At 41.6% G+C, this 23,669-nt stretch overlaps 1 protein-coding gene across 31 annotated transcripts in view; it reads right to left on the reverse strand.

Annotated features, from left to right (window-relative positions):
• The window catches only part of DTNB (dystrobrevin beta), a 296,335-nt gene that overhangs the window by 244,145 nt on the left and 28,521 nt on the right, over positions 1–23,669 (reverse strand). For all 31 annotated transcript variants that reach the window (NR_147180.2, NM_001320935.2, NM_001351393.2 and 28 more), the window contains 2 exons: positions 17,627–17,707; positions 6,784–6,997 (listed from right to left, as the gene is read on the reverse strand). Coding sequence is in view for 27 of the 31 variants with exons in the window: in NM_183361.3 (NP_899205.1) it covers positions 6,784–6,997; positions 17,627–17,707 (295 nt within the window). In the remaining 4 variants the exon portion in view is untranslated. The remainder of the gene's footprint in view (positions 1–6,783; positions 6,998–17,626; positions 17,708–23,669) is intronic.

Genomic DNA, 23,669 nt, shown 5'->3' on the forward strand with positions numbered 1-23,669 from the left:
GTATTAAGGGGGAACAATATAACTTTTTAAATGGATTCAAATTAAACTGCTAAATCAACTTTTTTTTTTTTTTTTTGAGACGGAGTTTTGCTCTTATTGCCCAGGCTGAAGTGCAGTGGTGTGATCTCAGCTCACCGCAACTTCCGCCTCCCGGGTTCAAGCGATTCTCCTGCCTCAGCCTCCCTAGGATTACAGGCATGCACCACCACCATGCCTGGCTAATTTTTTTTTTTTTTTTTTTTTTTTTTTAGTAGAGATGGGGTTTCTCCATGTTAGTCAGGCTGGTCTTGAACTCCCGACCTCAGGTGATCCGCCTGTCTCAGCCTCCCAAAGTGCTGGGATTACAGGCATGAGCCACTGCACCCAGCCTAAACCAACATTTTTAAATGGTTGTTAGCCACATTTGCAAACTACACAGGAATTTTTTCATATAACTCTATTATAAATTATATAAGTATCTTTACACCAAAGGAATCTTTCGATTGTTCAAATTAGCAAGAATGTTTTCTACTGAGTGTTATTGTAGATGGTAAACAATAACCCTAGGCCTTTAAATGATGTGTTCAATACCGTATTTTGTATTTTTTAAGATTTAGATGTATTTTACAGACTTTGTCCAAACTAGTTTCATTAGATACATCATTTTTTTTTTTTACCAGTTTATTCCATTTTTAAGGTGAAATTTCATTCTATTTCTGAACCAACACTTTTGGTAAAGGCCACAGACTCATTTGTAAAACATAAATGGATGAAATATATCAGAGGAAAAAATAAGATTCAACAGTCAGAAATAAAGTATAAGAGCAATCTGGCCGGGTGCAGTGGCTTATGGCTGTATTCAATCCCAGCACTTTGGGAGGCCAAGTCGGGTGGATCACTTGAGGCCAGGAGTTTGAGACCAGCCTAGCCAACATGGCAAAACCCCGTCTCTACTGAACATATAAAAATTAGCCAGGCGTGGTGGCGTATGCCTGTAGTCCCAAATAGGAGGATGAGGCATGAGAATCGCTTGAATCCAGGAGGTGGAGGTTGCAGTGAGCCAAGATTGTGCCACTGCACTAGAGCCTGGACGACAGAAAAATAAATAAATATATGTATTTATTTCCATCTTTGTACCTTGACTAACATACCTTTATAATGGCCAGAAATGTCATGTTCAAATTTAGAACTGTAAGGCACCCCATACTCCTACGTGGGAAGAACCTGATCCCCTTTTCTTCCCACCTCCAGCACATCCCATGCTTGAAAGGACTATGCATGCATGTGAACACTCTAGCCCACATGTCCAAGTTCTGCCCACATTCTCAGCAAACATCCACTCCTTGGCTAGTCCTTAGACACAGGGATACAACTACTTAGAAAAACAAAACAAAACAGAACAACATACACCAGGTTTGGAAGCATAAGTCCTAGAACAAATGGACCAAGAATTTAAAACTAAGAATAAACATGTTTAAAAAGACAATACGAAACAAGAACCACAAATCCCAAAAAAGAAAAATCAGATATATTACATATAGAAAATATAATAGCTAAAGAAATAACAGATGGAATAAACAGTAGGATGGCTCCAGAGGAAGAACAAATTAATGAGCAGAAAGGCAGATCAATAAACTCTTCCAAAAGGAAACAAAGTTAAAGAAATTAAACCATATGTGAGGAACACTAATAGATAAAGAGGAAAGAAGTAGAAATGCCAACAATCAGAAAACGAGAAAACAAAAACAGAGGAAATATTTGAAGAAATAATGAGCTTCTGGTAATAGCACCCTAGGTGATTCTGATCAACTCTTCCTCTGAGCAAAAAAGAAAAGATGGGGAAAGTTTTAAAAAATCTCCTTGAATATAAATTGTTGAGAACTAACAACTGAAGTTACCAAATGCAGGAGAGGCTGGATGTCCAGGGAGGTGAGTGCAATGGATGAAATCACTTTTTCCATGTAAGTGATTTGATTCCAGAGGGGGAAGCAAAATTGCTGAAGTATAGAGTAACTTTTTGATGGTACTGGGGACAAGGAGAAAGACATGGAGGCTTGGACTTGCCAAGGCAGAAGGGGTCCCTTGGCAGGACACGTGGTCCTGCTTACCCTACTCTCCTATTAGTTTGGGCTCAGAGCCCAAAGGCTTCACCTAAAGGTAATCGTGTCCAGAAGTAAACAGGTCCTCACATGTACTGATTAAGAAACTGAATTGACGTGATCCTGGATTGTTAAGGTCTCCAGGCACCTGGAAGAAGCAAACACACATCCTTTCTTGAAGAAAACATCATCCTAGGCCTCAAATTATCCCTGCAAATAATTCTGCAATATAATGTTTGGTATATAATAAAAATAATTTTGCTATATAATGTTCAGCCTATAATAAAAAATAACAAAGCAAATAGGAAATAAAACATCATTAATGAAAACCAGAAACAACAAACAGTACAAAAAGAACCACAGGAAATCTAGATATTAGATTGTAAGTGTAAACCAAAAATAAAATTCAAAGGCCCCCTGCAACCATCTGAGTGGACTCCCTCCTGGGCCAGGGCACTCTGAAATTTAACCAGAAAGACTGGTTAAGGCCATGATGGGAAGCTGGGGATGGACATGCCTCATGATACCCTCCAGTGTTAACATCAACACAGACCTTAAGTCTGAGAAGAAACATCTACAGTCTATTCTCTCTAGAGCCTACTATTTGCAGGCTTCATCTGTGTGATAAAACCTAGCTCTCCACAACTCTTTATCATAACTCTTTCAACCAACTGCCAATCAGAATATGTTTAAATCTACCTATGACCTGGAAGCTCCCTGTCCCTCTTCAAGTTGTCCCACCCTTCCAGATCAAACCAATGTAAATCTTAAGCGTATCTGATTGATGTCTCATGTCTTCCTAAAATGTATAAAAGCAAGCTGTGCTCTGACCACCTTGGGCACACATTGTCAGGACCTCCTGAGGCTGTGTCATGGGTGTCTAAAAGATGGGTACTTCTGCTCGGTGTTCAAAGAAGCCAACTCTTCCTTAACCTCAACTTCAAAGAGGAGGCATTTAGTAGAAGCTGCTCACAGGGATTTTGTGAAGTCAGCCTAAGGATGGAGCTGATACAAGAAGGGGGCAAAGCCGCGCAAAGAAATAAAGCCAGAGCTCTGATGCAACCAAGATGAGGGGCTGGCCTGCCTCTGGACCCCTCAGTTTGTCAGCCTATACACATGTTGTTATGAAAAGGCCATGTGGGTAGGCTTTTTACAGCTAAAGACACTGGACTAACACAAAGGTTGGAAATAGAAAGGGGATTTTTAAGTAACAAACCTTAAAGTGTGAAACTGGCTCAGCTATAGAAGAGTAAGGAAGACCTCCTCTATCTCATGCTGGGAATTTGGATATCGTTATTATATTGGTTAAAGCACCTTTGTTGTACCTTTGCACCAGACTGTATGACTACCAATAACATTGTACCGGAGAAACTGAGAGGAAAAAAATGCAGCTATCAGTGTTTTCACAACTCCTTGTGGCTTTCACTAAGATTCTACACCCAGGTGTTTTGTGAATATTGGTCTCTGTGCTTTTCAATGTTTTTAATTATCAAAATATAACATATTCAGAACTCTCAGTATTAAAAAAAATTAGGTCTTAAGAAAATACTTAAGGAAAAGTCTTAGATCCTATTTGTTCCTGACCGTTGTTGTAGGGTCTTATACTCTCTTATTATAATGATCAGAAATCATCTGGCCAAACACAGGGACTATAAATTTGGAGGTGAGAGAAGATTAAATAATTTTTGCTTTCAAACTTTAACCTTATGGAATTATGAAATACAAAGGCTGGAAGCCTCAATTAAAATAAATAACTAGGTTGTCTATGTATAAAAGGAACTCTCCAGCCTAAGTAATAAAGCGGCCAATCAATAAAAAGACTAACATTTGAAGTATTTAACGACAAAATGCCCTGGTTTTCAAAATTAACATTCTGATAACCAGATTCTTTCTTTTTTTCCAACACAAGAAGGTCAATTTTAAGCTTCCAGATAGCCAAATAAGCTCTATTATATAAAGGTATCAAAGTTAGTAAAGATGTGATCATTTATTCTGATACCATGGTCTATGTTTTAAACACATCAAAGTAAAAATTACCCAACTCACTAATAACATACTATACCCCTTACTCTTCTTAACTCACTCATTTTTTTTTTTTTTTTTTTTTTTTGCTAGTTATTTTCGGTGTGTGTTTCTACACATCTGCCTTCAACTGATTCACTGTCCACTTATTCTCGTCTCTCTGTATGTGTCTAGCTTTCTCGGAATATGGCCCAGGATATCCTTGTACCTTCTGCTTCTGAGTTTGGTCCTCCCATTCTCCCTTTTGCCATCTCTGCCCTCTTCCTTCCTCTCCCTTCTTTAGCCATATGCTATAACCTGAATGCCTGTGTTCCCCAAAATTCACATGTTGAAATCCTAACCCCCAAGGTACGGTATTAGAAGGTGGGACCTTCTGAAGATAATTAGGTCACGAGGGGGTCCTCATGAACGGGATTAGTGCCCTTATAAAAGAGGTTCCCGAGAACTCCTTTGCCCCTTTGTCATGTGAGGATACCACAAAAAGGTGCCGTCTAGGAGCCAGAAAGGAGGCCCTCCCCACACACAGAATCTACCTTGATCTTGAACTTCCCAGCCTCCAGAATTGTAAGAAATAAATCTGTGTTGTTTATAGAGAGTCCAGTTCATGGCATTTTGTTAGAGCAGCCCAGTAGACTAAAGCGCCATAGTATTTAACTTACTTGACATGATTATGGAATCCAAGATTTTAATCTCTGCTTGACCATTTTTAGACAGTAAGATGGTTTTAATTTCTGACTTTAAAAAATATTGTTTCTTGAGTTAATTTGTGTTGTGTGACCCATGAATTGGTTTACTGAGTGAGTCAGTGTCATGATAAGGTGCTGCTTACTTATTACAGAATAACAATTTTTACTAAGGGTTTTGAAACAAAAAGACAGTTCCTGAGCAGGAAAAAATTAACCTATGGAGTCACTAACTAAAATTACTAAAAAATGGCATTAGAATTCTGGGACTTATGACACTTACACACTCTTATTTTTAAAATTCAGATTTCTGCCGGGCACAGTGGTACACACCTGTAATGCCAGCTACTAGAGAGGCTGGGGAGGGAAGACTGTTTGAGCCCAGTAGTTAGACCAGCCTGGGAAACACAGCAAGACCCCATCTCAAAAAAATAAGTAAATTTCTTTAATAATTTTCTATTAAACGGATACAATGTCTAATCTGATAACGGCTTATAAAAATGGTGTGAATTTAGTGAGTGCTTAAATTATGACTTGGCTTTGACATTTCCATAGTGTTACCACTAATTCACAGACTCCTCCCTATTATAAGATATAACTAATAGCATTTTACAAATGTATGAACTCAAAGAAGGTCTACAGACAGCAAAAAATGAAGCAGAGACAATCCATTCAAATCAGATGGCCAAGAGTATAGCAGAAACTGGAACTCTTGGTTCACAGAACATCACCATTTAACCTCTGTACTTCCACAATCATAAATCTGTGCTTTACAATTTTGTTGTTTCATTCTTTACAATACCAACTCAATTCTCTACGAATATAAGTGCAGCAAATCATTTCCGTTTTAATTGGAGTACATTTAAATAGTTTTCTTCTTTTGTTTCAAGATCTACTAAACTATGTTCTGCAATGAAAAAATTTAAAATAGGTTCCTAGACATAAAGAGAAAATCTGTTTGGCCAGGTGTGGTGGCTCACACCTGTAATCCCAGCAGTTTGGGAAGCCAAGGTGGGCGGATCACCTGAGGTCGGGAGTTTGAGACCAGCCTGACCAACATGGAGAAACCCTGTCTCTACTAAAAATACAAAATTAGCTGGGCGTGGTGGCGCATGTCTGTAATCCCAGCTACTTGGAAGGCTGAGGCAGGAGAATCGCTTGAACCCGGGGGGTGGAGGTAGTGGTGAGCCGAGCTTGCACACCATTGCACTCCAGCCTGGGCAACAAGAGAGAAACTCCATCTCAAAAAAAAAAGAGAGAAAATCAGTTACTATAGTCCAATATTTGATGTTACAGAGTAAAGATTAGCCTTCTGAACAAACTAGGCATAGAAGAAAAAAGAAAGAGGAGACTTAGAAGTCAAATAGAAAGCCCCATAATCAAATTCAAAACTTAGTGTTTTTCATGAGCTGGAGGACAGCTGTATTAAGGTATCTATAATTTTCCCAAACAATACATCTCAAATGTGATTCTCCACAATATTCCAGAGTTTAATATATGACATACTCTAGGACAGTAAGTCACTGTGAACCAGTTTCTAGAGGGGCTTACACCGAATAATTTTCCTTTTTTTTTTTTTTTTTTAAGACAATGTCTCGCTCTGTCGCCCAGGCTGGAGTGCAGTGGTGCAATCTCTGCTCACTGCAACCTCTGCCTCCTGGGTTCAAGCAATTCTCCTGCCTCAGCCTCCTAAGTAGCTGAGACTACAGGCGCCCACCACCACGCCCGGCTAATTTTTTGTATTTTTAGTAGAGACGGGGTTTCACCGTGTTAGCCGGGATGGTCTCCATCTCCTGACCTTGTGATTTGCCCTCCTTGGCCTCCCAAAGTGCTGGGACTACAGCTGTGAGCTACCGTGCCCAGCCAATAATTTCCCTTTTAATCATGATTCTAAGTTGCCAGCTTAGCAAGGCAACTTAGCACGGCAGTATGGAAGAAGAATGATTCAGAGACAGGTGTTCTTAAAATGAAGTAAGCGTGTAAGGTAAGGTACTACTAGCCTGTCATATGCAGCAATCATAAAGTTGAGGAGGAGGCTGATAGATTGTTCCACACTAATTTGGTGAGTAGAAGGAAGGCGCTTGTTCAACTGATAGTAGATGGAGGAGATGACAGTTTCGAGGCGGGACACACTGATCTCGGTGGTATGGTCCAGTGTATTAAGGCCATTGTCTCGGAAGGCTTCAATCATGTTCCAGATATCAACAAGATGAACTAAAAGACAAAGAAAATAAACTGTCAACAATTTTAAAGTGTGGTACTACCCTTCACAATAGGAATCTAAAATTTATCAACTAGTTCTTAAGTTTAAAGAGAAGAAACTCTTTAGCCAACAATGAGGAAAACATTCTGTGGTCAAATAAAGAACATCAGTCCCAGACAACATCAAGGAGCCACCACAGCGGTATGGGAAGGACTACTTCCAGCCTTCACATTTAAATAGCGAGTATTTCACGTCTCTGCAAATAGTGACCCATGCAATTCCTAACAATGGATAACTTGATAAAAAGATCAAGAACTACTCCTAAGAACTTCTAGTCTTTTTGAAAATTTGCTGTATTACCTTGAGTCAGCTTTACTGTATTACTTTAGCCGAGCAACTAAAGCAACATTTTACAACTGAAACTTTACTGTATGACCCTAAAGAGAGAGACAAATACAACTGCATTAAGTAAAATATTAATATGCTTTAGAGGCTACTCAGAGCTCTGAACAACTCATAGCTCAGCCAAAAATAAATTTATCTACTGCATATTTCCTCCATTATTTAAGAGGCTGACTTTCTTTTAAATTCCATTTCCAGTAATAAAGTAGGCGCGGTAGCTGGGTCTACACTCTTCTTGAAAACGACAAAAATTCCTGGATGGAATATAAAAACTTCTTAAGTGCACAAAAAAAGTAAACAATACTCAACTACACAGAAAAGAGACATTTCCTTGAAAGAAAAATAATTAAGAATGATGCCTGACTTCAAGCAACAAAGGAAGCAGAAGACTGCAAAATAATTTTAATGTGTTGAAAAGAAATCAAAACCACCAACAAAATTCTACACCTAGTATAAAAAAACTTTCAAGAAAAAAGGTTCAATAAAGACATTTTCAAGTAAAGGAAATCTGAAAGTATACTTTCCAACGCTGAAAAACTAGGGGAAGAACTGAAATTAGGAAAACACAACTATTCAAAAGAAGGCAAGAAACACAGAACAAGCAGCAAAAATAGCACAAGAAAAGATGGCTGGTGCGGACCCAAATATGTCAGTTAACTGCAGTGACTATAAACACACTAACGTACCACTTACAAGACAAAGACTGACAAATTCACAATTTTTTAAATAACCAAATTATACGCTGTTTGTAAGGGATATGTCTAAAACAAAAGGACATAAAAAAGATTTAAATATAAGTGGATGACAATTTTCAACCAAAACAAAGGTGATGTAACTTTATTCGTAACAGGAAAAAAAGGGGGGAGGGCGGAGCTTGGAAAACCATATGATCAACTCAATAGACATAGAAGTAGCATTTGGAAAAATCAAATACCCTTTCATAATAAAAACACAACAAACTAAAAACAGAAGAAAACTTCCTCAACCTGATAAAGGGCATCTACAACAAATCCCAATGCCAACATCATACTTAATCAGGGAAGACTGAAAGCTCTCCCCTCAAGATCAGGAACAAGACACTTCAAGTACAGGCAGCAAAAAAGAGATACGCTGCATTTTATTTAAATTTTAAAAGTCTGTGTTTCAAAGGATACTATCAAGAAAGTGAAAAGGCAACCCAAAGAATGGAAAAAAATATTTGTAAACCATGCATCCATTAAGGGTCTGGGATCCAGACACATAAAAACTCTTACAATTCAACAATTAAAAAAAGATAACCCAATTTAAAAATGGGAAAATAATTTAAATAGATATTTATCCAAAGAAGATATACAAATGGCCAACAAGCACATGAAAAGATGCTCAACATCATTAGTCATTTAGGGAAATGCAAAAGAAAACTACGATAACATACCACTTCACACCAGCCAGAATAGCTAGACTTTTTATTTAAATGGAAAACAAGGGTCAGCGAGGATGTAGAGAAGTTGAAATTCTCATAAACTGCTGGTGCAAATGCAAAAGCATGCAGCTGCTTTGGAAAACAATTTAGGAGTTCCTTAAGAAGTTACACACAGGTCCCATACGACCCAGCAATTCCACTCCTACAGAATTGAAAACATATGTCTACACAAAATCTTGTACAAATGTTCATAGGTGCATTATTCATAAAAGCCAAAAGTGAAAACAACCCAAATGTCCATCAATATAGATACACGGATAAATAAAATGTGGCATATGCATATAATGGAATACTATTTGACCAAAAAAAGGGATGAAGTGGCCAGGCACGGTGACGGTGGCTCATGCCTGTAATCCCAGCACTTTGGGAGGCCGAGGCGGGTGGATCACTTGAGGTTGGGAGTTCGAGACCAGCCTGGCCAACATGGAGAAACCCCATCTCTACTAAAAATACAAAATTAGCCAGGTGTGGTGGCACACGCCTGTAATCCCAGCTACTCAGGAGGCTGAGGCAGGAAAATCGCTTAAACCTGGGAGGCGGAGCTTGCAGTGAGCCAAGATTACACCACTGCACTCCAGCCTGGGCAACAAGAGTGAAACTCCGTCCCAAAAAAAAAAAAAAAAAAAAAAAGGGGATGAAGTGCTGATGCATTCTGCAATATGGATAAACCCTTAAAACATTATTCTAAGTAAAAGATACCAGACAGTTAAAAATAAAAGATACCAAATATTCTAAGGTTCTATATATATGAAATGTCCACATAGGCAAATCCATTAAAAAAAAGTATATTAGTAGCTGCCAGAGCTGGGAGATGAAGGGAATGTGGAGTGACTGTTAATGGGTATGTGGTTTGTTTCTGGGGTGATGAAGATGTTCTAGAATTAGATAATGATGATGGTTGTACGACTTTGTGGATATACTAAAAATCAGTGAAAAGACTGTACACTCTAAAAGGGTGAATTTTATAGTATATGAATTTTATGTAATTTTTAATGGTGGGACAAAACATATTGTTAAAGAGGGTCAGCGAATAATGATAAAAGTTTTAATTCATAAGAAAGATATCAGAGGCTTGGTGCAGCGGCTCATGTCTGTAATCCCACTCCTGGCTTAGCTTGAAGCCAGGAGTTCATGACCAGCCTGGAGAACATAGTGGAATCCCATCTCCACAAAAAATTTTTTTTAATTAGCTAGGCATAGTGACACATCCCTGTAGTCTTAGCTATTGGGGAGGCTACAGCAGGAGGATTGCCTAAGCCCAGGAGTTGAAGGCTGCATTTAGCTATGATTGTGTCACTGCACTTCAACCTGAGTGACGAAGTGAGACCCTGTGGTCAAAAAAAAAAAAAGAAAGAAAAAAGAAAATAAAGAAAGATACAGGAACTTTATATTTATTTACATCTAACAGAATAGTCTCAAAACATATAAAACAAAAATAAACATAACCTCAAAGGGACACAAAGGAATTCAGAAGCTTAGTGGGAGATATTAACTCACCTCTCTTAATAAGTGATAGTGCAAATACACACTCAAAAAGTACAGATACAGACAATTAAACTTCACAACTAACAAAGTAGGCATAATGAGCACTATATAAAGTACAGCCTCCACTGATGAGAGAATATGTTTTATTTTCAAGTACGCAAAGATACATATAAAAATTGACCACATCCTTGGCCGGGCACAGTGGCTCAAGCCTGTAATCCCAGCACTTTGGGAGGCCGAGGTGGGTGGATCACTTGAGGTCAGGAGTTCAAGACCAGCCTGGCCAACATGGTGAAACCCCATCTCTACTAAAAATACAAAAATTAGCCAGGTGTGGTGGCTCATACCTCTAATCACAACTACTCGGGAGGCCAAGACAGGAGAATCGCTTGAACCTGGGAGGCGAAGTGCAGTAAGCTGAAATCTCAGCCCTGCACTCCAGCCTGGGCCACAGAACGTGACTCTGTCTCAAAAAAAAAAAAAAAAAAAAAGAAATTGACCATATCCTGAGCCATAAAGCAAATCTCAATAAATGTTAAAGGATTAAAATCATATGAACCATGCTCTCTGATCAAAATGAAATTAAGTTAGAAATCATAATCAAAAGACAACTTTTAAAGGAAACCTTATTTTTAGAAATGAAGAAATACACTATCAGGAAACTTTCTTAATCTGATTAAGGTTGTCATGGTTTGAATATTTGTCCTCTGCAAAAATGATGTTGAAATGTAATCTAATCCCCAGTGTGGCAGTACTGAGAGGTGGGCTTTAAGAGGTCATTGAGTCATGAGGGCTCTGCCTTCATCCACCCATGGATTAACGGACTAATTAATGAGTTATCATGGGAGTAGGACTGGTGGCTTTATAAAAAGAGGAAGAGAGACCTGCACTAGCACACTCAGCCTCCTCACCATGGGATGGTGTGCATGGCCTCCAGACTCTGCAGAGAGTCCCCAGCAGCAAGATGGTTTTCAACATATATGGCCCCTCAATCTTAGACTTCCCAGCCTCCGTATCTGTACAAAATAAATTCCTTTCTTTTTAAATCACCCAGTTTCAGGTACTCTCTTATAAGCAACAGAAAACAGGCTAAGACAAATGTTATCTACAAAGGACTTGCCACAAACATATTACTTAATAGTAAAATGAAAGGTTTTGCTCTGATAATGGGAATGAGATAAAAAATGCCCACTATCATCATTTCTGTAGTACTTGAGGCCAAACCAATACAAATATTCAGATAAAGAAATAATCAGTGTATTGGAAATGAGTAACTGAAACTGTCATTATTCAGAAATAACAAAACTATGTACATAGAAATCAAAGATTCTACAGATAAATTAATATGAGTCGAGAACAATTGCTAGAAATAAGATCAAGATCAAGATCACTGTATTTCTGTACATCAGCAACATAACAATGAAATTTTAAAATAGCTCTCCCTCTCCCTCTCCCTCTCCCTCTCTTTCCACGGTCTCCCTCTGATGCCGAGCCGAAGCTGGACTGTACTGCTGCCATCTCGGCTCACTGCAACCTCCCTGCCTGATTCTCCTGCCTCAGCCTGCCCAGCGCCTGCCATTGCAGGCGCGCGCCGCCACGCCTGACTGGTTTTCGTATTTTTTTGGTGGAGACGGGGTTTCGCTGTGTTGGCCGGGCTGGTCTCCAGCTCCTAACCGCGAGTGATCCGCCAGCCTCGGCCTCTCGAGGTGCCGGGATTGCAGACGGAGTCTGGTTCACTCAGCGCTCAATGGTGCCCAGGCTGGAGTGCAGTGGCGTGATCTCGGCTCGCTACAACCTCCACCTCCCAGCCGCCTGCCTTGGCCCCCCAAAGTGCCAAGATTGCAGCCTCTGCCCGGCCGCCACCCCGTCTGGGAAGTGAGGAGCGTCTCTGCCTAGCCGCCCATCGTCTGGGATGTGAGGAGCCCCTCTGCCTGGCTGCCCAGTCTGGAAAATGAGGAGCGTCTCTGCCCGGCCGCTATCCCATCTAGGAAGTGAGGAGCGCCTCTTCCCGACCGCCATCCCATCTAGGAAGTGAGGAAGTGAGGAGCGTCTCTGCCCGGCCGCTCATCGTCTGAGATGTGGGGAGCGCCTCTGCCCCGCCACCCCGTCTGGGATGTGAGGAGCGCCTCTACCCGGCCGCGACCCCGTCTGGGAGGTGAGGAGCGTCTCTGCCCGGCCGCACCGTCTGAGAAGTGAGGAGACCCTCCGCCTGGCAACCGCCCCGTCTGAGAAGTGAGGAGCCCCTCCACCCGGCAGCCGCCCCGTCAGAGAAGTGAGGAGCCCCTCCGCCCGGCAGCCACCCCGTCTGGGAAGTTAGGAGCGTCTACGCCCGGCAGCCAGGAGGGAGGTGGGGGGGTCAGCCAGCCGCCCCGTCCGGGAGGGAGGTGGGCGAGTCAGCCCCCTGCCCGGCCAGCCGCCCCATCCGGGAGGTGAAGGGCGCCTCTGCCCGGCCGCCCCTACTGGGAAGTGAGGGGCCCCTCTGCCCGGCCAGCCGCCCTGTCCGGGAGGGAGGTGGGGGGGTCAGCCCCCCGCCCGGCCAGCCGCCCCGTCCGGGAGGGAGGTGGGGGGGTCAGCCCCCCGCCCGGCCAGCCGCCCCGTCCGGGAGGGAGGTGGGGGGGTCAGCCCCCCGCCCGGCCAGCCGCCCCGTCCGGGAGGGAGGTGGGGGGGTCAGCCCCCCCGCCCGGCCACCCGCCCCGTCCGGGAGGGAGGTGGGGGGGTCAGCCCCCCGCCCGGCCAGTCGCCCCGTCGGGGAGGTGAGGGGCGCCTCTGCCCGGCTGCCCCTACTGGGAAGTGAGGAGCCCCTCTGCCCGGCCACCACCCCGTCTGGGAGGTGTGCCCAGCAGCTCATTGAGAACGGGCCAGGATGACAATGGCGGTTTTGTGGAATAGAAAGGGGGGAAAGGTGGGGAAAAGATTGAGAGGTTGGATGGTTGCCGTGTCTGTGTAGAAAGAGGTAGACATGGGAGACTTCTCATTTTGTTCTGTACTATGAAAAATTATTCTGCCTTGGGATCCTGTTGATTGGTGACCTTACCCCCAACCCTGTGCTCTCTGAAACATGTGCTGTGTCCACTCAGGGTTAAATGGATTAAGGGCGGTGCAAGATGTGCTTTGTTAAACAGATGCTTGAAGGCAGCATGCTCGTTAAAAGTCATCACCACTCCCTAATCTCAAGTACCCCGGGACACAAACACTGCGGAAGGCCGCAGGGTCCTCTGCCTAGGAAAACCAGAGACCTTTGTTCACTTGTTTATCTGCTGACCTTCCCTCCACTATTGTCCTATGACCCTGCCAAATCCCCCTCTGCGAGAAACACCCAAGAATGATCAATAAAAAAAAATAAAAAAATAAAAAAAGAAAAAAAAAAAAAGAAATTTTAAAATAATAGTATCATGTCACTGAAGACCTAGGAATAAATCCAATGAAGAGGCTGGGAGTGGTGGCTCACATCTGTAATCCCAGCACTTTGGGAGGCCAAGACAGGTGGATCACTTGAGGCCAGGAGTTCGAGACCAGCCTGGACAACATGGCGAAACTGTCTCTACTAAAAATACAAAAGTTAGCTGGGTATGGTGGCGGGCGCCTGTAGTTCCAGCTACTGGGGAAGCTGGGGCAGGAGAATCAAACCTAGGAGGCGGAGGTTGCAGTGAGCCAAGATTGCGCCACTGCACTCCAGCCTGAGCGATAGAGCGACTCTGATTCAAAACATAAATAAATAAAAATTTAAAAAATAAAAAACATCCAATGAAGGATGTGCAACATCTCTACAAAGAAATTAAAGACCTAAATAGTTCTAGGGATGACCATATACCACGTTCACAGGAGGAAATCTCAACATTGGCAATATGTCAATTCTCCCCAACTTGATTTACAGATTCAACAGAATCCCAATCAAAATCTCTGCAGGACTGTACAGTAAAAGAGGAATTTTACTGTGTGTAAATTATACTTGAAAAAAGAAATGAATAAAAAAAACACAGGAGAGTTGTTTTGTTGGTTTTAGTAGAAATTGGCAAGCAGATTCTAAAGTTTATATGAAAATGAATGTTAAAAAGACAAGACTGTCCCAGAGAATCTTAAAAAGAAAAGCCGAGCAAAGTAGGAAGACTTGCCTTGCCTGACATCTAGATTTACTAAATTCTAATAGTGGTTACTGCTACAAGAAAGTGCAGTATTAGAACAGTCTGGTATTGGTAGAAGGATAGACAAACAGACCAGGGAACACAAGAGGGTCAAAAAGCAGACCTTCTCATATATGGACACTGCCATGAACATTCTTGTACAGATTCATGAATATGTTCATATTCAATGAATGAATATGGGAAGACTCTTTAGCAGTAAAGAAAATTGTTTATTTTCTTCTGTTTATTGACTGTTTAGTGACCCTTTCAATAAAAAGTGAAGGAACAACTGAAAATACATATGGAAAAACTTGTACAGATTCATGAATATATTCATATTCAATGAATAAGCATGAGAAGACTCTTCAGCATTGAAGAAAATTGTTTATTTTCTTCTGTTTATTGACCCTTTCAACAAAAAGTAAAGGAACAACTGAACATACATATGGAAAAACTTGAAAACTGACTACTACTTATCCTGTACAGTCTCAAAATTTTTTTCAGATCAACTCTAGAATCCTACGTGAAAGGTAACAAAATAAAACCTTTAGAACAATGCATCTTTTACTTTATATTACTAATGCCACTAGCCTAGTCAGGCTCTCAACACTCCACACGTAGACTACTGTTTCCCAAGAATAATTATGGCAGGAATTATAAAAACGAGAGTTGTTCTAAGGCAGTGGTTTTCGAACTTTTTGACCACGAGCACAGAAATATATTTAAATCATCACATACACACATATACACACAAACACATACATATATCTAGATATATAAATATATTTAAATCATCACAGAAATATATTTAAATCATCATGTACACACACAAACACATAGATACATCCAGATATCAGAACACATTTAGCCTTACCACATAAGTTGCATTCTAATATTTTATTTTTCTTCCTTTTTTTTCCTATTATATGTTTTTAATTCTGGCTACAGCCCATCAAAATGATTTCATGAAGCATTAATGGGTAACAACTCACAATGTAAAAAATAATGCTTTGAGAAACCACTGGAGAAAGAAACATCACTTCGATCTAGGATGGCATGATAAACTCTTCGGAGAGAATTTTAAGTTAAGATTTGTGAGTAAGACTTAAAGTAGAGTAGAATTTATCAGCTGTAACGTGATTTGCCCAAGATTATTTGTTTATAATAAATGGCAAAACCAGGTCTAACAGAGCCCTCAGAAATAATAGCACACATCTACAACCATCTGATCTTTGACAAACCTGACGAAAACAAGAAATGGGGAAAGGATTCCCTATTTAATAAATGGTACTGGGAAAACTGGTTAGCCATATGTCAAAAGCTGAAACTGGATCCCTTCCTTACACCTTATACAAAAATTAATTCAAGATGGATTAAAGACTTAAATGTTAGACCTAAAACCATAAAAACCCTAGAAGAAAACCTAGGCAATACCATTCAGGACACAGGCATGGGCAAGAACTTCATGTCTAAAACACCAAAAGCAATGGCAACAAAATCCAAAATTGACAAATGGGATCTAATTAAACTAAAGAGCTTCTGCACAGCAAAAGAAGCTACCATCAGAGTGAACAGGCAATCTACGGAATGGGAGAAAATTTTTGCCACCTACCCATCTGACAAAGGGCTAATATCCAGAATCTACAAAGAACTTAAACAAATTTACAAGAAAAAATCAAACAACCCCATCAAAAAGTGGGCGAAGGATATGAACAGACACTTCTCAAAAGAAAACATTTATGCAGCCAACAGACACATGAAAAAATGCTCATCATCACTGGCCATGAGAGAAATGCAAATCAAAACCACAATGAGATACCATCTCATGCCAGTTAGAATGGCAATCATTAAAAAGTCAGGAAACAACAGGTGCTGGAGAGGATGTGGAGAAATAGGAACACTTTTACGCTGCTGGTGGGACTGTAAACTAGTTCAACCATTGTGGAAGACAGTGTGGCGATTCCTCAAGGATCTAGAACTAGAAATACCATTTGACCCAGCAATCCCATTACTGGGTATATACCCAAAGGATTATAAATCAGGCTGCTATAAAGACACATGCACACGTATGTTTATTGCAGCACTATTCACAACAGCAAAGACTTGGAACCAACTCAAATGCCCATCAATGATAGACTGGATTAAGAAAATGTGGCACATATACACCATGGAATACTATGCAGCCATAAAAAAGGATGAGTTCATGTCCTTTGTAGGGACATGGATGAAGCTGGAAGTCATCATTCTCAGCAAACTATCGCAAGGACAGAAAAGTGAACACCACATGTTCTCACTCACTGGTGGGAATTGAACAATGAGAACACTTGGACACAGGAAGGGGAATATCACACACCGGGGCCTGTCATGGGATGGCAGGAGGGGGAGGGATAGCATTAGGAGATATACCTAATGTAAATGACGAGTTAATGGGTGCAGCACACCAACATGGCACATGTATACATATGTAACAAACCTGCACGTTGTGCACATGTACCCTAGAACTTAAAGTATAATAAAAAATAAATAAATAAAAACTAAAACCAAGGTTTTTCAATTCTAAGGTTAATGCTCTTTCCATTGTATAAAATACTTTTTCCACTGATACACACAAACACGAGAAAAGTACAATAATTCTGTCACGAGCTAGTTCATCTTCATGGAAATAAAGAGAAGAAAGATTAAGTATATACACACACAGACATACATATACATATATACAGACACACACACACTTTATTTTATGATCCACATGGTAGCAATTATTTATAGAAAAGGTTGATTCATGTTACATTAAGCTTAATGAAGAAAATCAATTCCAATTATACCTTTATCAAAAACATTGTTTTTCTTTTCCTCCAGCAGCTGATAAATTGTATTAATTTTACATAAAGCATTTCCTTAATAAAAGTGACAGAGAAATCCATTCTCCCATTTAAAGAACATTAATACTACAACAGCCTCAAAACTAGTTACATGACTGAGTTTGTTAAACATTTTGAAGGACAAAGAAGTAAAATGACAAGTTCTTCCATTACAAAGCTTACATACTAATAAATACTTAAGACAAAAATAATTCAATTAACATTACAATACAACTAAAAGATGTTAAAGTCTTTTCTAATATTGAGAACTCTATCCAGCTATCACAGAAATGAGTAGAAATGACTCACGGTTGCATCGTTTTTGTACAAATCGTAATTTGCAGGCTGTTCTGTAAGTTGATAGTCGTATGACATCAAAATTCTGAGCACCTGAAAAAAGGCAAACAGAAATGCTCAACTAGATTTACCATTTAGTTTCCAAACGCTAGGAAATGACTCCATTCTATTGTATTGTCATAGTATACCAGTCAGCTAGGACTTCTTAAAAACGGTGGGTCAATTAAAACAACAACAGAGGGAGAAAAGGATAGGAAACACGTGCATCTCCAGTATGTGCAGGAACTCTGCTAGTCTAGCTCCTGATATCCTGTCTGCTCATCGGAGAAAACTCCAGGGGGAGGAACACTTATGAGGTGAGTGAGTGAACTATGATTAGGAAAGGGGAGTAGGGCAGCATCGTGAGAAAGACCCAAGCCTAGAGTCAGAAAAGCTGCATTCCTGTCCCAGCCTGACCAACCACAGAATACGACTGTGGCCATGCCCCGTGGCTGTGGCCATGCGGCGTGCCTCTGCACATAAGTGTCCTCATTTGGGAAATGAGGGAACGGACCGGTTGCCTGAAAGGTCCCCTTCCAGTCTGTGGCAGCCTGTATTTTCCAAAAAAAAAAAAAAGCCACAACAATATTTTCAGAACAGTATTTTATGTACTTCTAGTATGTTGTCCCTCTCCATCAAGGTCTAGAGATTCTTTCCTTCCATGTGAATCTGACCAGGACACTGTGACGGCCTCGCGGCACAGAATGCGGCAGAAGTACAGTGCGGGACTTCTGGAGATAGATGATAACAGACGGCATAGCTTGCTCTGCTCTTGCTCTTCCGGGATGCTTGTGCTGGGAGCCCAGATGCCATACCGTGAGAAAGCCCAGACTGATGTGGAGAGGCCACAGTGAGAAGATCGTACGAAGAAGAACTGAGTCCACCAACCAAACCAGCATCGACTGCCAAACGCGCAGGCGAGCGAGCCTTCAAATGATTCAAGCCCTAAGCCTTTGAGTCTTCTGCTGAGACCTCAGGCATCATGAAGCAAAGTCAAGATGTCAGCACTGAACGCTGTTCTGAGTCTAGACCCACAAAACGCATAAATAGAATGACTGTTTGAGGGGTAAGCGATATATGGCCAGAGTAACTAGAACAAAGCCTAAAATTATACATGAGTCTATAAATCACATTTTGTTCTCATTTTAATTGCTGCAAATGAAGTCTCCTTGAATTTTAAGACCACTGTAGATAGGATTGGCCCCCAATGTGAGATTTCACCTATCCTTCCTTTATAAAATTTGGCAGCAAGTTTTGACTCAATAAGGGGACAGAGAACTGGCACAAATTATCTTGTATCAGTATTTATAGGCATCTCTCATTTGTCTTCATTACACGGTATGGAGGCGGGGGGTGGAGGGGGTTAAAGGAAGGATTTTTCCAGGTTTTTGGTTTTTGTATACTGAACAAAAAGTGAAGGTTTATCTTAGTCTGACTTCAATCAACCTTCCTCCTGATGTCATGATTAAAATTATTTCCTCAGGGGATACCTGGTTCTCACAAAATATTTATCCCTCTCTCTCTCTGTATTATACAGTCCCACTTTCTCTTTTTAAATATAAAAGCTTTATTAAAATATAATTCAAAGTCCAGATGCAGTAGCTCACACCTGTAATCTCAGTACTTTGGGGGGCTGAGGTAGGAGGATCAGTTGAGCCCAGCAGTTTAAAACCAGCCTTTTTTTGGCCAGGCGCGGTGGCTCATGCCTGTAATCCCAGCACTTTGGGAGGCTGAGGCGGGCGGATCACAAGGTCAGGAGATCAAGACCATCCTGACTAACATGGTGAAACCCCGTCTCTACTAAAAATACAAAAAATTAGCCGGGTGAGGTGGTGGGCGCCTGTAGTCCCAGCTACTCGGGAGGCTGAGGCAGGAGAATGGCACGAACCCGGGAGGCGGAGCTTGCAGTGAGCCAAGATTTGGGTACCACAAAAGATAAAATACAGCAAGTATCACAAAAGTCCAAAGATAACTATAATACTTTCGGAAAATGATAAGCTCCATACGCTCCAGCCAAGTTTGCCAGAGATCTCTACACTGAAGTTTCAGGTACAGTCACGAATCAAGGGTCACTCTGCTTTCCTTTGCCATTGTTCCTTATGAACATGCATCACCATAAAGCCCAGTGGAAAAAGGGTACAGAGATTAGTAGGATGGCACACAATTCAGAAACTCTAGGGAGCCGTGCCACAACAGCATTTTAGAAATCTAATAACACTCCAAATCCCAAAATAATTTGTAAAGAGTTAGATGCAAACAATAGCCTTAGAATCTTATTAAAATCATATTGTGCCAACATTCTACTAATCAGATTCTAAAACCTCCCATATGTCTGCCTTTTTCTGGAGCAATCATCTTTCCTGGTTTCTTAGAAGGAAAGTCCTCATCCATTACCTCAAAGGATATTTTATTTTATTTTATTTTTTTGCCCAGGATGGTCTCAAGCTCCTGAGCTCAAGTGACCCTCCCACTTCAGCATCCTGAGTAGCTGGAATTACAGGCATAAGCCCACCATGCCTGGCAACTACTCCTTGCAAAACTCCACAACTACTTCCAAATATTTCTTATTTGAGATATTGGCCCAAAGCTGATTCCCACTGACAGCTTCCTATATTTTGTGTAACTGTGCTTTCGTGAAAAAGGATACAGTTCTACTCTGTTAACATGTTGAAGAAAAATGCAACCTCAGATGAGATTTTAGTGCACTGCAAACACCTTTGATTTCCAGACAAGGGAAGAGTTTTAGAAAAATGACAAATGTAGAAGCCAGATCAACTTCAAAGTCTTTTTTGTTTGTTTGGACGGAGTCTCGCTCTGTCACCCAGGCTGGAGTGCAGTAGCACGGTCTCGGCTTACTGCAAGCTCTGCCTCCCGGGTTCACGCCATTCTCCTGCCTCAGCCTCCCGAGTAGCTGGGACAACAGGCACCCACAACCACGCCCAACTAATTTTTTGTATTTTTAGTAGAGACAGAGTTTCACCATGTTAGCCAGGATGATCTCGATCTCCTGACCTCATGATCCACCCGCCTCAGCCTCCCAAAGTGCTGGGATTACAGGCATGAGCCACCACACCCAGCCCAAAGTCTTTTTATGAGTAAAAAGATATAAATAATACAAGTGAGATAAGTAACAGCCAATTTGGCATGCCTGTGCACGTGTGTGTGTATATGTGTATGTGTGTGTGTTGATAGGAGAAGGCAGGATATGAAGCTAAATCTTCTAACTCCAATCACAGTGAAGATCATATGATGCCAGGGGTTAATTAGTATCATCTGATCATAAGCATTGCCTGGCACTATGCTCAATGTATAAAATTCCAGGTCCCACTGCAGATCAACTTCCTGAAACAAAATCTCCAGTGAGAAACCCTGGGACACTATTTTTTTTTTTTTAGACAGGGTCTCACTATGTTGCCCAAGCTGGAATGCAGTGGTGCAATCTCGGTTCACTGCAGCCTTGACCTCTCGGGCTCAGGTGATTCACCTCAGCCTCCTGAGTAGCTGGGACCACAGGTGTGTGCCACCACACCCAGCTAATTTTTTGTATTTTTTACAGAGATGGGGTTTCACTATGTTGCCCAGGCTGGTCTTGAACTCCCGAGCTCAATGGATTTGCCTCCCTTGCCCTTCCAAAGTGCTGAGATTATAGGCATGAGCCACCATGCCTGGCCTGGAATCTTCATTTTTAACAAGTGCCCCAGTAGAGTGTTTTTGGGTTTTGTTTTTGTTTTGAGATAGAGTCTCGCTCTGTCACCCAGGCTAGAGTGCAGTGGCGCGATCTCAGCTCACTGCAACTTCTGCCTCCCAGGTTCAAGCAATTCTCCTGCCTCAGCCTCCTGAGTAGCTGGGACTACAGGCGTGTGCCACCATGCCTGACTAATTTTGTATTTTTAGTAGAGACGGGGTTTCACCATGTTGGTCAGGCTGGTCTCAAACTCCTGACCTCAAGCAATCGTGCCCACCTCAGCCTCGCAAAGTGCTGGGATTACAGGTGTGAGCCACCGCGCCCGGCCCCAGTAGAGTTTTATAATCAAGTTAGGTTCAAGAAACACAACACAGTACTACCCAGCTCAACTAAAAGGTATGGCTCAGGCACACTCTTCAAATTTCACCTCACACCCAACTCCAATCAGTCTGGACTGCACAGAATCACCCAACTGCACCCAGTCCTCTCATCTCGGGGCCTTCACAAGTGCTACCGCCCCAGCCCTTCCTTCACCTCCTCAGACCAACTCATCCTGGGCATGGCTTCTCCCAGATCCCTTCTGAACCCCAGTGCTTCCCCCATGTGGCTCCTACTGCACTGTCATTTCCAGGAAACGAAGTTACATGAAGGCAAAGACCATTTGTTGTTGTTTCTGTTCACTGTTCAATGCTAACTAGAACACAATAAAACTAGCACCTGAAATAGTTATTGAGTGAATAAACACGTTAAAATTGGGAAGTTGTGTTGCTAGTGCAAAAAACTCTGATCTACTTTCTCCTAAAAACATACAAAATCAAAAAGTTAGACAAACTGTAGATAGAATTTTGGACATTAGCAAAGAAAAGCTGACAGAGGAGGACAATCAAAGTAGAGGGGAAGCCACCTCCTTTTAGTATTCTGTGTATTACACGCTCATGCTTTTAGTATTATTCAAGTAGGGCAGAGGACTCCACACTGCGTTCCAGGAAGCCATGGGTTTTGAGGGAGGTGCTCAGCCAATCTAATCTGTCAGAGGTATTTGAACCAGAGCAACCCCACCCTACCTAGGGGCTTGGTAAAATGAGGCCAAGACCAACTGGGCTGCATTCCTAGACAGTTAAGGCATTGTAAGTCACAGGATGAGATAGGAGGTCAGCCCAAGATACAGGTCATAAAGACCTTGCTGATAAAACGGGTTGCAGTAAAGAAGCCACCTAAAACCCACCAAAACCAAGATGGTGACAAGAGTAACCTCTGGTGGTCCTCACTGCTATACTCCCACCAGGGCCATGACAGTTTTCAGATGCCATGACAACATCAGGAAGTTACCCTAGATGGTCTAAAAAGGGGAGGCATGAATAATCCACCTCTTGTTTAGCATATCATTAAGAAATAACCATAAAAATGGGCAACCAGCAGCCCTTGTGGCTACTCTGTCTATGGAGTAGCCATTCTTTTATTCCTCTACTTTCTTAATAAGCTTGCTTTCACTTTACGGACGCACTGAGAATTCTTTCTTGCGTGAGATCCAAGAGCCTTCTCTTGGGATCTGGATCGGGACCCCTTTCCTGTAACAAACCCATGGAAGATACAGGAAGTAAGTGTATTGTGTTTAAAATGCAATGCAAATGGGGAGAGGAGGAAAAAAGGAAGAAGGGAGAAGAGATATAGAGCTAGAAGATGTAAGCATAATATAATGCTAAATTGTCTGAAATTTTTCACAACCATTTATGATTGAAAAAATTTTTGGCTGGGTGTGGTTGTTCATGCCTGTAATCCCAGCACTTTGGGAGCCCAAGGCAGCTGAATCACCTGATCAGGAGTTTGAGACAGCCTGGCCAACATGGTGAAACCCTATCCCTACTAAAAATACAAAAATTAGCTGGGCATGGTGGTGAGCACCTGAAATCCCAGCTACTCCAGAGGCTGAGACAGGATAATGACTTGAACCCTGGAGGCGAAGGCGGAGGCTTCAGTGGGCCGAGATTGTGCCACTGCACTCCAGCCTGGGTGACAAAGCGAGATTCTGCATCAAAAATAAAAAAATGAGAAATAAGAAATTTTTCAACAGATTATTAGTTCAAATAACTAACACAAATGACTTCCTTATCTTTTTCTTTGCAATAAGAATAAAAACCCTGGGGGACAGAGATGAGGCCAGAGGTCCCACCAGAGAGGAAGATACAAATACAACCAAGACCACTGAATACTGTAAGGATGACTCTCTCAGTGGGTGAACTAGGAAAAAAAGAGAAAGCATCCCACAAAGGGAAATGCTGGGGACACAAGCCTTTGTCCACCTTGATTTAGACTTAAATTTATCTGAATTTA

The sequence above is a fragment of the Homo sapiens genome, chromosome 2 (assembly GCF_000001405.40).
Source record: "Homo sapiens chromosome 2, GRCh38.p14 Primary Assembly".
NCBI classification, from domain to species: Eukaryota; Metazoa; Chordata; class Mammalia; order Primates; family Hominidae; genus Homo; species Homo sapiens.